Raw genomic sequence first — 13,966 nt, 5'->3', positions numbered from 1 at the left:
GAAACTGGACCCCTTCCTTACACCTTATACAAAAAAATTCACTCAAGATGGATTAAAGACTTAAACATAAGACCTAAAACCATGAAAACACTAGAAGAAAACCTAGGCAATATACCATTCAGGACATAGGCATGGGCAAAGACTTCATGGCTGGGTCACTCTTAATTGTTTTTTTTTGTTTGAGACGGAGTCTCACTCTGTTGCCCAGGCTGGAGTGCAGTGGCCTGATCTCAGTTCACTGCAACCTCCTCCTCCCGGCTTCAAGAAATTCCTGCCTCAGCCTCCCAAGTAGCTGGGATTACAGGCACCTGCCACCATGCCCAGGCCAGGTCACTCTTTATGGGGCAGACAGACAGGTGAATGGGATGTTGGCCTGAGCCTTGAGAAACGGATAACAGGGAGGGTAAAAGGGAACATGAGACGGGGCTAGAAAGAACAGAAGAACCAAGCATGTTCCATGGGAGAGTGGAGAGAGACAAAAAGAAGAAAGGTGAGAAAGTTTGATTCTGACATTTTGGGGCAGCGGCCTTGGAGACCAGCATGAGGCCAAAGTGTATCTAATTCCGCCACAATTCTCTGTTGTCTGCATTGATTGTGGGATTGAAAAAATATTTTGGAGCATTCCTGCTACTTTACCTTGGAGAAGATACTTCCCAGAGGCCAAAAAACAGCAATTTTCTCTGCTGGTCGAATGCATTATCCTCACCTTTGGCTTCCACATGACAGAAAGCAAGCTCACATTGATTCTTGGTATCGATTTCCAAATATGAAAGCAGTACTTGGAATTTTCGAAGCTTCTAAACAGATCTGGTACAAGGAGCCAAGCCTTCTTCCATCTTCTTCCAAATGATCTTTAGAAAAAGATGAAGAGTTTTGAGCTAATATCATACAGCAAGCCAGCCCTATCTCCTGCTCATTCATTCATTTTGGTGCAATTGAGGTTTCTGTGTGAAATCGGAGCTCATCTGAGAGCTGTCATTGGGACGTCTCATTGGCATCACACAAACTTGAAGCCTGCATTAGTGAGGATGAGCTTCCTTTTTACAGTAAATTCCTTTAAACCCAATACATATTTTGGTAAAAATGTATGTTTTAAAATATATATAATGGGTAAGCAAGATATGCTGCTGGCTCTGAGGTTTCTTCCACGTCTGAGAAAGCAATACGAAGTTTTGGCAGAGGGAGTTGCCCAGAGGTACAATGGATCTGAGCAGTGCCGTGCCATTTGTCGCAGAAGAGTTGATCCAAAATGTACACACCAGACGCTTTCAAACGGTGGAATTTTTCTACAAGAAGTCAAAAATGACAACACAGAGGCGTAACATGGTGCTAGACTCTTCATTAAAATCACCATGTTCTTTCAGAGCAAAGGGAGCTCTGTTCAGGAAATACTGTTCCCGTGGAATGAGTCAAATCTGAAAATTCTGGGTCAATGCTCCTCTACCTTTTGAAAAGACCTTAATAATTGTGGTTATTAGAATTCTGGGTCTCCGTGGAGAACGGAAAACATTTAGATGCCAATATTAATAGTTAAGTCTCATGCAAACTTGAGTTTGGGACAGTGTTTCCAAAAGAATGGAAAGAGGAACCAGTCAAAACAATGCACGGAAAGAGTGAGTGGCGAGACACAGGTGGTATGCAGCATACGGGTGTGTGTGTGTCTGTCTCTGGGTGTGTCTCTGTGTTAGTCTCTGTGTGTCTGTGTGTCTGTATGTGTGTCTGTGTGTATCTGTGTCTGCGTGTATGTTTTCCTGTGCCCATGTGTGTTTGCATGACTGTGTACCTGTCTGTGTATTTGTGTGTGTCTCTCTCTGTGTCTATGTGTGTCCCTATCTCTGTGCATATCTGTGTGTGCGCCTACATGTCTGTGTGCACCTGTATGTGTTAGTGTGTCTGTGTGTTTCTATGTGCACCTATGTGTCTCTGTGTGTGTGTCTGTGTTCGTGTGTGTCTCTATGTCTCTGTGTGTCAGTGTGTCTGTGTGTGCACTTGTTTGTCTCTGTGTGTCTTTGTGTGTCAGTGTGTTTGTGAGTGTCCTCATGTCTGTGTGGACCTGTGTGTCAGTGTCTCTGTGTCTGTGCACCTATGTGTGTCTGTGTATTTGTCTGTGGGTGTATCTGTGTTTGTTTGTGTGTTTTCCTGTGTGTGTACTTGCCTGTGTCCCTGTATCTATGTGTCTATGTATGTGTCTATGTGCATATCTGTGTGTGTCTGTGTGTTTGTGCATACCTCTGTGTCTCTGTGTGTTTGTGTCTGTGTGTGTGTTTGTGTGTCTGTGAGTGCATCTGTATCTGTGTGTCTGTGTATTTGTCTATGAGTGTGTCTGTGTGTGTGTCTGTGCGTGTCTCTGTGTCTGTGTCTGTATCTGTCTGTATCTGTGTGACTGTAGTGTGTCTCTATCTGTGTGTCTTTGTGTCTGTATCTGTGTGTGTATCTCTGTGTCTGTGTGTGTTTGTGTCTCTGTGCGTCTGTGTGTGTGTCTGTATCTGTGCGTCCGTGTGATAGCGAATGTTCTGTATCCATGTGTATGTCTGGGTGTGTGTGTATGTGTCTCTGTGTCTGTGTGTTTGTGTCTCTGTGTGTGTCTATCTGTGTGCGTGTGTCTGGGTGTGTGTTTGTACATGTCTCTGTGTGTGTATCTGTGTCTGTGTGTTTGTGTCTCTGTGTGTGTCTGTATCTATGTGCGTGTCTCTGTGTGTGCTTGTCTCTGTGTGTCTGTGAGTGTGTTTGTATCTATGTGTGTGTCTGCGTGTGCGTGTCTCTGTCTGTGTGGGTGTTTGTGTCCCTGTGTGTCTGTGAGGGTGTAGCTGTGTGTTTGTGTGTCTGTGTGTCTGTATCTGTGTGTGTGTGTGTGTGTGTGTGTCTGGGTGTGTGTAAGTGTGTTTGTGCATGTCTCTGTGTCTGTGTTTGTGTCTCTGTGTGTGTCTATGTGTCTGTGTGTCTGTATCTGTGTGTGTGTGTGTCTGGGTGTGCACCTGTGTGTGTTTCCCTGTGCACCCCCCTTCCCACCGGGCAATCTGCCGTGCATGCAGGGAGCCCGGGGAGGGCTCGTCATCTGGGAGTGTCAGCAGACACCGCAGCCATCGGCAGCAAGCATCCACCTGCTCCGCGGGCGCCTTTTTCAAGCGAGTTCAGCTCACCTCTGCTTCTCTTGGTTTTCCTTTGCTTAATTGCAGGTGATGATTCAAAAAAGCCTTCACCTGTTTGCGCCTGGCTTTCATCTTTCGCAGACAAAGCAGGCTGGGGCCTGGGCCTTGATCTGCGGCATGCTCAGGGCCTGGGTATTAAAGGGGCTGGATCACCCTCAGGCTTTTAAGGGTTTTTTTTTTTTTTTGGGTTAAATTGATGAGCATGTATAATAAATTGAAGCTTTGTTGTTTGGCAGATTTTTTTATATTTGTTATTCTTCTATCAGTGCAGAGACTGGTGGCGGGGGGGTGGTGGGGGTCACCTTCTCTCTCCTCTCCACGGCCCAGATTTGCCTTGGGACCATAATGGACAGATTTTAAGATTACAAATACTTTTGTTATGTTTCTGTTTCTTCAATAAGAGCCCTAAATGCAAGTGTCCAAGTGTCTAGATGTCCAGTGTTAATGCAGCCGCGTCTGCACTGGGCTGAGGGATGTGGTCCCCGGAGGATTGACTGCTGCGCTCCCCACATCTTCCCGTAGAGCATTTGACCCAAAGTGAGGCCGTACCCACCCAGGCTCAGCCTCTCAGCACCCAGCTGCCTCCTGGTCCGTGGAGGTGCTCGGCAAGTTCCTCTTTGTTGGACGTTGGCTGCTCATTCATCCCTGTGTAGTTTTCTTGTTCATTTCTTTGGAATGTTATTTTGTCCAAAGCAGAACCGAAGGAATTAACGAAGTACAGGTATTGTGCTTGGAAGCTACTGGCCTTGGAGAAGCACACCACACCTTAGAAAGACAAACGTGCACTGCCCCTAAGCTGCAACATCTACCAGTAATCAATTTCAGACACGCTTGCCTGGATCTGTAGACAGACTGGACTGTAAGATTGTACGGCTCCTGTTTTCTGTGTGGAAAGGGGAGCGTTGAATATATCTCTGATGCTTCTGTTACATACCAGAACATAAAATGACAGGGGTGTGTGTGTGTGTGTGTGTGTGTGTGTGTGTAAGTACACGTGTGTACTGATATATTCATTTTGGGGTGGGCGAAAGGGAACATTTATCAAATACTTTCTTTTTCTTTTTCTTCCAATAAGTCAACTCTTACTCTTGGTAGTGTGTGGACAAAGTCATGGAATATACAGGAAGGTTGTGTTGACTTTGTTTTCAGTCCTCACCCCTCTTCTTGGGTTGAGGTGATCGAACTCTGCCCGTACTTGCTAAAACGCTCCACTCTGTTTTAATTCTTTGTAAATAGAGCTCCCCCTCCCCGCTACCGTGGCTTATTCCTGCAGTTCCATTCACTACCACGTTCAGCCTAATCACATCTCCTGGAAATAATATGAGAAAGTTATGCTGTTTTACTCCATCAGATTTAATAAGTTTGGATGGTTTCCAAGTACTAGGCATTAATCACACTTAAACCTGGGCCTTGATAGTTCATCCACCCGGAGTATTCATGTCAGAGACATAAAACAATCTGCTTTAATGCTCAGAGTCCTCTTGAAAACTGAGCACTTGCCTCGTGTTAATAAAACTTGCTTTCTACAGTGGGGCTGGGAGAGGACAGGGCATGGGGATTTTTATATCATGTAAAGCATATCATGGGTGCATTTTCCTGCCCTTGTAGTTTCTAAACCCAGTTTTAAAGCTTTGCAGAATTATATGAAAAAAATTAGGCAACAAGGTAAGCCTGGAATAAGGAAGAATTAGTCAAACCTTGGCAGCACCCAGAGTTTGGTTTACATCAAAGCGGTGGAGAGAACGTTGTCCTTCCTACCTGACAGCTCTCCTCAGCTCAGGGTTTCCATTCTGGGATGACAGTGAAATTGGACACAACAATTGTCCATTTTCCAGTGGGTGGGTGTGATGTGCCCTTTCTGTACAACTCTCCAGGACAGGAGGTGGGGGCTGCGGGGAGACAGACGGATGGAAACTGACACACACAATGCTTTCTTCATCTCCCATCTACATTTGGTCTGTTCCTTAGGTTGGTTTGTGGGTTCCTTTGACATGGGGTTCCTTTTACTGCCTTCCCTCCATCCCCGTGAAGAGAATGCTTTCTAAAACACTTCCCATTGTTTTGTTTTGAAATGAGCATCTTCATGTCGCAGCAGGATTATTTTAATGTTTAACCAGAGTGACAAAAGTTTTCACTTGTTAGTATTTAGCTAAAGATTCTACCGTGTCATGAAGATAAATCTGCTCAGGTGGACAAAGAGTACGTTGAGGACATCTGGGTGCCAGTGGGTGGTGTTTGTTGATGCTGGGGTACCTAATAAGTGCTTTTGATTCTGAGTCTATAGAACGTGGATGCTGCAGGCTGTGCCCACCTGGCTGTGAGACACAAACACCAGTTACACTGTGCACTTGGTCCTGAAAGCCTCTAGGACAGCAGTCCCCAACCTCTGTGGCACCAGAGACCAGTTTCGTGGAAGACAATTTTTCCATGGACAGGGAGTGGGGATAGTTTTGAGGTGATTCAAGCGCATTACATTTATTGTTCACTTTATTTCTATTATTATTATTATATTGTAATATAGAATGAAATAATTATAAAATCCATCATAATGTAGAATCAGTGGGAGTCCTGAGCTTGTTTTCCTGCAACTAGATGGTTTCATCTGGGGGTTATGAGAGACAGTGACAGATCATCAGGCATTACAGTAACATGATCCTCTCATGCACAGTTCACAGTAGGGTTTGTGCACCTATGGGAATCTAATACCATTGCTGATCTGACAGGAGGCGGAGCCCAGGCGGTAATGCGGGTTATGGGGAGCGGCTGTCAATACAGAGGAAGCTTTGCTCACTGGCCCACTGCTCACCTCCTGCTGTGTGGCCCAGCTCCTAACAGGCCATGGACAGGTATCGTGGGGGAGCTGGGCACCCCTGCTCTAGGAAATACAAGGTGTGGCCATCTCTGATACAGGATGGTGTACATGCTAGGTGTGGAGGTAGCACTTGTGTGTTTCACATCATGAAACACAGGGCAGTGGCTACCAGCTGCTAAGTGGGGTGGGAAGATGATGAATTTGAGATGTTCTGAGAGTGACAGGCTAGGCTCGGAGATGTCCAGCAGCTGGAAAGTCCGAAAGGGAGGGAGGCCGTTCCTCACCCTGGTCTGATTTCAAAGTCCCTACTCCTTCCACTCTTTTCACAATTTCCCGATCCTCGCATGGGCCCTGGGCCTGGCCTTCCATTGGCTCTCACATGCCGCTGCCACTGGAGGATTTTCTGGGAGGGTGCGTGTCTGCATTTTATTTTGTTGGATGAAGATTACACGTGCAAGGTATTCCAGCCTTAATCTGGGAATGCAATACATGACCTGGGAATGCAATAAACACACAAACACAACAAATGAAACAAACCTTAACATGACCTGGGCATTTCTATTCACATCGTGGTTGACTAACATGAGGCATGTTAGATGGCTGAGTAATTGTTTTTGTTCTTCTTTATAATCCATGCTGAAGAAGAAGTTTGTCTTTAGAAAATGTGGCTCAGATAGAGATGGAATTCATTTGCTTCAATTGTGTGAACATCTGAAATCGGCACCTGTCTAGGTATTAATGTTCCGAGTTTAGAAGGTGTTTAGCTGGCTGTGTGTTTGTATACACGTAAACCCGGTATTGATTTGAAATACACGTGCACATCAGCAAGTCGCGGTGGAGTTTGGTGGCACACCTTGCAATGCTGATGGGATGCTGGGAGAGAGGGCTTATGCCTCCCAGGGAGCTTGCAATTTGCATGGTAGTTGTAATCCTTCCTGAAAAATGTCTTGATTCACGTGACATCCGACTGGGCAATACCATGCATTGTGTGATTCATCCCTTAGACATTGATTTAAGAAATATTTATTGAATGTCTGTGATGAGCTGGCCACCCTCCAGATGTTAGAAACAGAGGAATGAGCAAAACAGAGCAAGTCCCTGCTTTCATGGGAAGGAGGAAGGCAGAAAATACTAATAAAATAGATAAATAATATAAGTTAGGACTGACAAGTGCTGTGAAGAATGAGTGTAGGGTAGGGAGAGAGGGGAAACAGGTAGAAGGTTGCCATCCACTGTGGTCAGGGAGGGCCCACTGGTACAGGACGCTCCAGCAGAGACCCTCACTTGAGTGAGTGAGGGAGCTTTGGAGGTAGCCTAAGGAAAGAACATTCTAGAAGGAATAATGAGTGCAAAGCCTCTGAAGTAAGAGTGTGCCTGGTGTGTTCAGGAAACATCTGTCGTTCTCCTTCAGTATACATTATTGTCCATATAGATTTTTTTAAATGTAACCGGAATGTTCAAGTGTAAACAAATTACCTTCCCAGGCAGATTTATAACTATTTGAGGGCTGGAACTTTTATAACTATTTGAGGGCTGGAACTACATATTGTAAATGTATCTTGTACTTTTTAAATGTCCAGTCCAATGTTGAACCCATAATAGGTAATCATCAAATACATGTTAAATTTGATGGAATCAGTGATTTAAAATATGAAATTATTATTAACTGTAATGTAGTGAATATGGAGTTGACATGGGGCATTTTCCCAGGAAAAGAAAAAAATTTAGCCATCTCAACCTTTCTTTTCAGTTGCCCCTAATGTTAAGATTTTATATAGTCTCCTCAGGCTCAAGTTAATCATCGAATACTGTCCCAGGAAATGGCCCAAACTGGATATTTGATATAATTTTTTCTGATTATAGAATATCTGTAAGATTACAGTTCTGTCTTCAGAGATTCTACAGTTTAGCAGATCAAATGGACAGTGGTAACATCCTAATTATAGTGCAGTGACACACAATATGCATTTTGGAAATTAATTTTGACATCACTGTAATTTTTATTATCATTTCACTATATATGAACATACACACCAATACATCACATTGTACATCTTAGATATGTACAGTTTTTATTTGTGAAGCATACCTCACTAATTGTACATCTTAGATGTGTACAGTTTTTATTTGTGAAGCATACCTCACTAAAGCTTGGGGGGCGGTGGGAAAGGCATGTTTTCCTTTGGAGCAGAGCTGTGCCCTGGAAAGGAGTGCATGTGAAGATGGAAAGGAAGGAAAAGCTCTTCGTGCACGTGGGGATTTTGGGCTTAGAGGGAATCTGCGGTAAATCACGGGGAAGCCAGGAATCCTCATGAGAGTACTCAGCCCTGGCTGATGTGGAAGCCGTGTGAGTGCAAGCTTGCGTTTCTCTGTATCATGTAGTGCTGTGTAAGGAAGAACATTCCAGAAGGGTCGGGGGCACAAAGGCCCTGAGCTGGATGGTTCTTGGAACAATAGGGAATGTCAAGGCCACCCTCTTGTATTCCTGCAGTCCCTGTTGTCCGTACAAACCCCTGTTCATCAAAGCCAAGCCTCTGGGCCCCTTAGGCAATGGTGTCTCAGGTGGGAATCGCATTGTCCAGGCTGTGGGCATTTGCTATCTAACCACACCATGTCTTCCTCAATACCACAGCCCCTGCACCCATCCGCACACATGCACCCACTTGACACACTGCTGGGGGTCCGCCCTGAAGGTGCTCTCCGGCGGGGGCTTCTGGGATGAGCAGTCCCACTGGCCCGGCTCTCACGGAGCCTGCGTCCTGCTGGGGACACAAAGCCCAGGCAAGTGAACAGTGGGTTGGCAGTGGGGACAGTGAGCAGGGCTGTGAAGGAGCAAAAGGTGTGCTGGGGAGAGACAGCCAGGGGCTGGTTCAGATGGGGGCTAGGGAAGAACTCACAGAAGAGGTGCCAGTTGAACGGAGGTCAGAGCAGGCAGAAGGAGTGAGCTGTGCAAAGGTGGGGAGCAGAGAGGCTTAGGGACACCAAGGAGGCATGAGCGGGAAGGCCGGGGCACAGCAGGTCAGGTGCAAGCAGAGGTGGCCTTGCACGCTGAAGTCTGGGGTGAGGCTAGCATGTCTGTCCTGCTGAGGGGAAGGGCCTGCCTCTGTCCCTTGGATCTGGGCGGCGAGCTGAGATAGGGAAGGTTGCAGGAAGGAGGTTGCTTTAAGCCAAGTAGTGGGATCGGGTGGGCTCACCCAGGAAGGAAGCGGGGATGGAGACGGGTAGATGATTACACTCTTGACAGAATCTCACCAGCACTAATTTGCCTTGTCAGTTTATGTTTTTTTTTAGGACCATCATTGATAATTACCCAAGAACGTGATTGAAGTGTAATTATGAAAGTTTGGCTTGGGGAGAAAACATTTTATACTATTTTAGACCCAAATTCTGTATTAGAGCAACATTCAAGATTTTCTAATTTCTAAAGTTTAGAAAAAAACACTTTTTTGGTGGCAACTGTGTAATTGGTGTATGATGAGTAAGCGTTTTTAAGTGTGTGCCCGTGTGATTAATGGAAAAGTTACACCCTGAAAGTTGCTATTTAAAAATGCAGCCGGTAACCATTATCTAGGAAGGCATCCTGCTTCAGTTCAATATGAATTTAAAACCGTGTCATGTACCTAGTAGAATATTAAAAAAATTCTGCATATGAAAATCCATTATAATCTCAAAAGGAGATACTCCTCTTATTAATCTTGGCCAGAGTCAGATTTTTCCAGCTAGCTGTTTAAGTTTGGTGAGGGTGTTAAAACCAGACTCAAAGAATAGATGAGAACCCCATGACCTGCGAGGTGCAGGTCAGCCAGGCTGAGCCTGTTGAAAAATTAACAGGTGAAACCCGCTCTGAGACGCCGCTTTATTGCAGATTTTCACCCGCTGTGCGGAGGAGGATTGGGAGATCGATGCTTCCTTTGAGGGTGGTGGAGAGTGGTGAGGGGAAGCAGTCCCCGCATCCCCCAACTCCCCCTCAGTAGCCAAGTACGGTTTTGAGAGAACCATTCTGCTAACTTGACATGCGTCAGATGTCCCTTGCCAAGTGGCACCAGCATACCCAGGGTCCCAAATTGTGGTGGCTACCTGGGCTCATCTGTCCTTTAAGACATATCCCGGATCACTTTCTCTTCCGTTGCTGCTCCTTCCTAATTCCGAGCTCTAATTGCAAAACACCAATTGCTTTAATAATAGAAAGCGCGTGTCAAGAATCTTTCAAGACATTTCATAGAATTTAGTATCTACCATCAACCTTTGACTCGATTGACAGAAATTATTAATTGGGCAATTCGAATGATCTTAATATTGATTTAAGCTTTTAAATGGTTTTTTAGACATTTTATCCTAATGCCATCATGAGAATCAGGAGGGCAAAAATGATTTTCTAATTCATCAAATTTCTACATCAAATGGTGTAAACCAACATTGAGACTTAACTCCTTTTACTTCTAATGCATACTTTCACATTTCTACACAGTTCAGATGAACTGAGTGCTTTCACGGCTGGCTGGTGATCCCAGTCCTGCATCCATGCTTTCTGGAGTGGTGTCCAAGAGCCCTTGATTTAGCAAATTATGGGCAAGAATGTCGTGTGGATTGGGATTATGTCCAAACAGAAATAATCATTGCTGGTGATTTTCCTTTGGCATTTAGATGGATATTATGAAATAATTCTATTAAATAAGTTTACTTATTCAGCTGTTCATTTTGTATGCAATCTACTGGCACATATAATACAAGACGCGCACGAAAGTTCTGTAGGTGGGAACTTGGCGATATCACCCATAACACAGATTAACTAGGTCATACTTCTTTGGTAGAGAACTTTAGCTCCAAGAAATCACTATGAAGCCACAAACACTGAGCCTGCCTAGGGTTTCTCGGGCTTCTCACCTCCCTGCAGAAAGGTGCTGCCCTCCACTTTGGCAAGGACACAAGCCAGGTTCCTGTGCCAGTGAAATAATCTTTGCCATCTACGTGGCTGAAAAATCTCTCATTTTGAACAGCCTTCCCTGTAACTCTTATGGAAGGCTTGACTGAAATGAGGATGTATAAAAGATACTTAAGGGAAGTGCTAATAATTTATATCATTCCCCATTGATATCTCTATTTTTCAAGATAGATAAGGCTCCGTGACCTGCACTGTATCATTCTGACCCTGGAGAAGTAACTGTGCATAATTATGCTTTTACATTATGCCCAGAAGGCCAATAAAAGAAACAGCCATATGTAACTTAAATTTGCATTTTAATAAAACTTCCATTGACGGTATTGTTCAGAATTCCTTTGCTCAGTGTCCCTCTGATAGCTCATGACCAAGAAGAACCCCAGCTTCACATTAGCTGTGTATTTCCTCCAAATATGGACAAAGTAACTCTAGCCTGACTGCCGGGGAGCTTATTCAGAGCAAAGTTTTGCATTTAATTTCTGCAACATCCATCTATCTATCTATCTATCTATCTATCTATCTATCTATCTATCTATCTATCCTATCCATCTGTCTGTCCATCCATGCATGCATCCATCCATCCATCCATCCATCCATCCATCCATCCATCCATCTCCTCTATTGATTTTCTATCTATCTATCTATCTATCTATCTATCTATCTATCTATCTATCTATCTATCTATCTAATCTGTCCATCCATCCATCCATGCATCTATCTGTCTGTCTGTCTGTCTGTCTGTCTGTCTGTCTATCTATCTATCTATCTATCTATCTATCTATCTATCTAATCTGTCCATCCATCCATCCATGCATCTATCTGTCTGTCTGTCTATCTATCTATCTTATCTATCTATCTAATCTGTCCATCCATCCATCCATGCATCTATCTGTCTGTCTGTCGGTCTGTCTGTCTGTCTATCTATCTATCTATCTATCTATCTATCTATCTATCTATCTATCTATCCATCTATCTATCTCATCTATCTGTCCATCCATCCATCCCTCCATCCTTCCATCCATCCACCCACCCACCCACCCATGTAGGTAGAAAGACATAGTGACCTTCCTTACCCCTACGGTCAGTCTTTACTTCCTTTTTTTTTCTCAGTGTTGGTTAATTTTGGTCATATTATGTCTATATTGTTGTAAGCCATCTGAAATCCCATTTGGATAGACTGTAAGTGAAAGAGAACCCATTAGTTACAAATGTTGATGGTTGATTATGGTGTAATATTGCTAATCACCTCTCTGAAAATATATTTGAATTTTAGCATAGGCCTTAAATTTAAATAAATGACTCATGTTTGGATTTCAATCCCTGATAGTAAATGGCAGGGAGGTTACTTAAGAGTCAGGGAAGGATTTCTGCCTTTTCCTATGAGCCCCACTTTCAGACAACCTACTGCAAGAGAGAGAGAGGCTCGTTGTATATTTTCATGGCCCGTGCATGATTTCAGTTAACCAGATATAACTAGAGAAGAAAACTGAGCCACTCACATAAGTCGTTGGTGCCTGTGAAAAGGAGTGTGTAAATTAAATCCAAAAAGCCCATAGCTGTTAGCTTTTGCAAGCTTTTATCCTGTGAAGCTTTATTCTTGTGACAGCCTTGTTGATTTGCCTAGTGGACAATTAACAGGCACATCATTCATTTTTATTCAAAGAATGTGTGCTGAGTCTCTACTGTGTGCCAGACACCCTTGTAGGTGGGAGGGATGTGGCTGCAAACAAAACTTAGGTAGCCCTTGCCCTCTGAACCTTGAGTCAAGTAATGAAGGTGAAACATGGTTGCTATTGTCATAGAGAAGCAGAGAGTGTGGTGTGGCAGCCCTTGCCCTCCTGAACCTATAGTCAAGTAATTAAGTTGCAGTGTGGTTGCTATCATCATGGAGAAGCAGAGGGTGTGGTGTGGCAGCGTGTAGGGGCTTGCCTGCCTGGGGCGGGGAAGGCCTTGTGGGGAGGCTGAGGCTGAGTGGTGGGGAAGATCGGGAGGTGCTCAGGCGGAGTCCTCCTGGATTCTGCAGCAGAGAGGGGCTGTTAGGGGCTGTGTTCAGGCAGGGGCCGGCTACGGTGCTTCTCTGCACAGGCGCTGTTCTCTCATGAGAAGACCCCTCGCCCACGTGCTCCCCACTGAGCCCACGCTTCCTCAGGACCCTGCACTGTCCCATCCCCTTCCCTGGGCCCTTGGCTCCTCCCACAGCACCACATCCTGCGTTTACAGCCACTTGTGTGTTTCTCTGTGAATATCATCTGTTAGCTTTTGCTTTTCACGAAGAGTGTCATTTTCATCATATTTGCAACAAGGCCTGAGATATTCCATAAATACTTACTTAAAATAACTCATTATTCAAAAAAATTAGTACTTAATTATTAATAGCATGTGCTCTTGGTAGAAAATATAGATAAGCAAATAAGAGGTAATAAAATCTGCCCACAACTCAGCTATTAAGAGACAGATACATTGACATTCTGATGTAATAAATGAACTTCTGGGCTTCTGTCTTTCATCTAATTATTACTATAACATATAAATATATGTGTGTACATAGGCACATATATTTACATAAATTTACAGACTACAAATTCTTTTTTGTAAATGTTGCTTAATAATATATTATTAGCATCTTTCTATGTTAAAAACTATTTTTCCACAACACTGTAGAGTTTATTTTGATGATAAACATACCTATGGAAAATTTTCAGGAGATTCAGAAATTTTAAGAAGAGAATTAAGAGCACTACTTGAGCATTCAGATGTAATTTTTAATACCCAGTGTTTATTTCTCCCATGACTAGATCATAATTTCTCCCAACAATTCCCTATTGTTGAATATCAAATTTTTTATTTTTTCTATGAAAACCAATGCTGAGATAAGCAGTCTTGTGGCTCAATCTTTGCATACATCCTAAATTATCTCCTGAAAACAGATTCTTAGATGTGAAATTGCAGTGTCAAAGGGTAGGTCTAACCAAAATGCTTATTTGGAAAAAGTTTAAATTTCCTTTTCTTTTTTTGAGACGGAGTCCCACTCTGTCTACCAGGTTAGAGTACAGTGGTGTGATATCG

At 43.8% G+C, this 13,966-nt stretch overlaps 1 long non-coding RNA gene across 2 annotated transcripts in view, besides 1 other annotated feature; it reads left to right on the top strand.

The window, feature by feature from the left end:
• Positions 1-13,966, top strand: part of RNF32-DT (RNF32 divergent transcript) — a 168,437-nt gene that overhangs the window by 139,460 nt on the left and 15,011 nt on the right. The gene's annotated exons all lie outside the window — the stretch shown is intronic.
• Positions 8,892-9,418: an enhancer, noted in NCBI's record as "H3K27ac-H3K4me1 hESC enhancer chr7:156284352-156284878 (GRCh37/hg19 assembly coordinates)". NCBI's record gives its function as "activates a minimal SCP1, AML or CMV promoter by ChIP-STARR-seq in naive H9 embryonic stem cells {active_cell/tissue: H9 hESC(naive)}" and the evidence as "EXISTENCE:reporter gene assay evidence [ECO:0000049][PMID:30033119]".

Source organism: Homo sapiens, chromosome 7 (genome assembly GCF_000001405.40).
Source record: "Homo sapiens chromosome 7, GRCh38.p14 Primary Assembly".
In the NCBI taxonomy this organism is placed as follows: domain Eukaryota; kingdom Metazoa; phylum Chordata; class Mammalia; order Primates; family Hominidae; genus Homo; species Homo sapiens.
This window is presented reverse-complemented; position numbering and strand designations above follow the sequence as displayed.